This window comes from Homo sapiens, chromosome 4 (assembly GCF_000001405.40).
Source record: "Homo sapiens chromosome 4, GRCh38.p14 Primary Assembly".
Classification (NCBI taxonomy): Eukaryota; Metazoa; Chordata; class Mammalia; order Primates; family Hominidae; genus Homo; species Homo sapiens.
Genome location: NC_000004.12, coordinates 125266075 through 125268920, shown reverse-complemented (window position 1 = coordinate 125268920; position 2846 = coordinate 125266075). Strand labels below are relative to the sequence as shown.

Here is a 2846-nt window from a genome sequence, read left to right as displayed (position 1 = left end):
TGTCAGAAGCAAAGTTTGGGAATATTTTTTTCCTTTCTGTAGGTTATCTATTTACTCTGCTCATAGTTTATTTTTCTGTGCAGAAACCCTTTAGTTTAATTAGGTCTGACTGGTTAATTTTTGTTTTTGTTGCAATTGCTTTTGGGGGCTTAGTCATAAATTCTTTGCTAAGGCCAATGTCCGGAATGATATTTCCCAGGTTTTCTTCCAGGGTTCTTACAGTTTTAGGTCTATCGTTTAAGTATTTAATCCATCTTGAATTAATTTTTGTATATGGCGAAAGAAATGGGTCAAGTGTCAATCTTCTGCATATGGCTAGTCAGTTATCCCAACAACATTTACTGAATGGAGTCTCTTTTCATCATTGTTTGTTATTCTTAACCATCTGGGGCCTCCTGGAGCCAAGGGGACAAAGCAGTTGAGAAGGCAGCCCAGGTCAGGCACGCTGGAGAGACAAAGGCCCTGCCTTTTTTCACTGGAAGTAGCAGAATTAGACATAATCATATTTGTAGTAAAAGAATGTAAAAATACAAAAATGTTTTGTAGCCAGATGTGGTGGTGCTCACCTCTAGTCCCAGCTGCTTGTGAGGCTGAGGAGGGAAGATTGCTTGAGCCTGGGAAATTGAAGCTTCAGTGATCCATTATCATGCCACTGCACTGCAGCCTGGGTGACAGAGTGAGTTCCTGTTTCAAAAAAAAAAGAAAGAAAGAAAGAAAAAGAATGTTATGTAACTACCTTCTCCCGCTGTGTCCTCCCTACCTAATACAAATTCTCAAGAAAAGTTTATATATTTACATATGAAGATGCTGATTTGCATAAAAAAATGTAAAATCAAATATACAAGAAAATAGCACATATTTTTAGTTATCTGTACATTGATACTTACATGTAAACACACACCCTATGCACATAAACTCATATATGTATTAATTTTAAATGGAATTATGCCATACTTTTAAAAAACTTTTAAAAATCGAATATAGCAGTAATTTTCCAGGTCAGTACATAAAGATACAACTCAGGATATATTTATAGGTTTACACGACCTTACCAGAGGCCCTTGGGACTAGATGTTTTGAAATTCAGGGTTTTGTGAATGATAATATGATGCATGTGCTGCATGTTATTATAGCATTTCCAACTATGTCTTGGGTGGCACAGCCTAATCAAACACATTAATATTTGCACAGGGACCTGAATGCGTAGTCACACCAAATAAAATAAATAGAGATTTTGTAAAGTCTCATGTCTGGCCAGTCTAGGTTTTATCTCCAAATTAGTTAATGTTAGATTTGCAGAAGAGATTATAGATATTTATAATTTCCTGCCTTTTAAAAAGTGTGTTAATATAAAATATATGTAAAAAATGCACAAAAAAATGTTGTCTTGGATGAAGCAGAGAGGAAGTCAGTTCAAAATGCCATGGAGCTCTCTGGAACCCCGGAATCTCAGAAGTGGCATGACACTTCAGGCAAGTAAACAGTCTGCAGACGGGTGATTTTATGCAACCTTTTTTGTGACTCTGTGATGCAAACCAGGCACAGAGCCACATTCAGCTTCTTGATCAAATCCTGACATATACGCACCACAAGCAAGCATTCTATACACCCAGGTGGTGTGGAGGGAGCTTTAAAGATGAGCTGAAAGATTTACCGGGTCATCTGAAGAAAACCAGCGTGGGAATATTCTGTTCTGCCAATATATGGAAGTAGCAAGAAGAAACGACTGGCTAATGGATGTGCTGCAGTCTTCCCACATGTAGAAACAAGCACAAGGGTGTCTGCTGGTCACACATCTGTCACGAATATTGTGAAATAAGGGAAGTTTGCATTCTTGGATTTATTTCATCCTCTTTGAAGGAATTCAAAGAACTGATTATGATTCATATGTACTAGTCATGAAAATAAAGCAGTAGTTCTTTGCATTATCCTACTGTGTACAGTGAAATAAGTTCTCTTTGAAAAATCACATCCATCTATTTTTGTCCACATTATCATTACTACATGGGAGACTAAAACCAAAGACGTCAACTTCTGGCTCAAGGGGATCTGTCATTGCCTTTGATTTCCTGTGAAAATGGCTATAAGTCAAGAAAGACGGAATTTAGAGTTCATGCTCATGTATGTACATGCATTTGGTATTTATCTATTATATGTAATAATTTCAAGTCAATGTTTCACGTTTTTGCCCATTCTAATTCATCAGTCTATGTAGTGTTTCAGCATGGTTTTAGATTTTTACATTGTATTTAAGCTAACAAGCAACAAAAAATCAAGATATGCTTTCTAAATGAATAAATGAAGGGGTTATCTGTTAACATTCATGTTCTAATATAAATGATGAAATAGTTAAAAGCATAGCTTTGAAACAAGAAAACTTTATTTTATTCCAAATTCTGCCACATTTGAGTGTTATTTTTTTTCAAGCTGCTTAACTTATTTGAAACTTTCCTATTGTTATCAGAGTCATTGTGATTGTGTTTTAATCTCAGAAAATGACTGTAAAAAGGTCTTACAGAAATTTAAAACACTATTATTTTTTATTCATGCATTTATCAAATCTTTAGTGAGTCCATTAACTGGCAGGCATTGCTAGCTCCTGGGGTACATACATAAGATTTAACATGGGCATTTTTAGAAGGCAGACTGTGAGAAAAAAATGGAGTATAAAATTCCTATAGGATATTCCAGTATAATCAACGTTGAAAATGATTAGAACAAGGTTCTTCGTATCATAATTAATGTTGTAAAAGTAACCACCACTGGCCCTGGTGCACATGGTCTGGAGGCCTGGGGATTGACACATCCTGCCCACCACCGCCGTTGCCTGTGCATACCACCTGAGC

The 2846-nt window shown here is 36.2% G+C and overlaps 1 annotated feature.

The window, feature by feature from the left end:
• Positions 335-836: an enhancer, noted in NCBI's record as "NANOG hESC enhancer chr4:126189240-126189741 (GRCh37/hg19 assembly coordinates)". NCBI's record gives its function as "activates a minimal SCP1, AML or CMV promoter by ChIP-STARR-seq in primed H9 embryonic stem cells {active_cell/tissue: H9 hESC(primed)}" and the evidence as "EXISTENCE:reporter gene assay evidence [ECO:0000049][PMID:30033119]".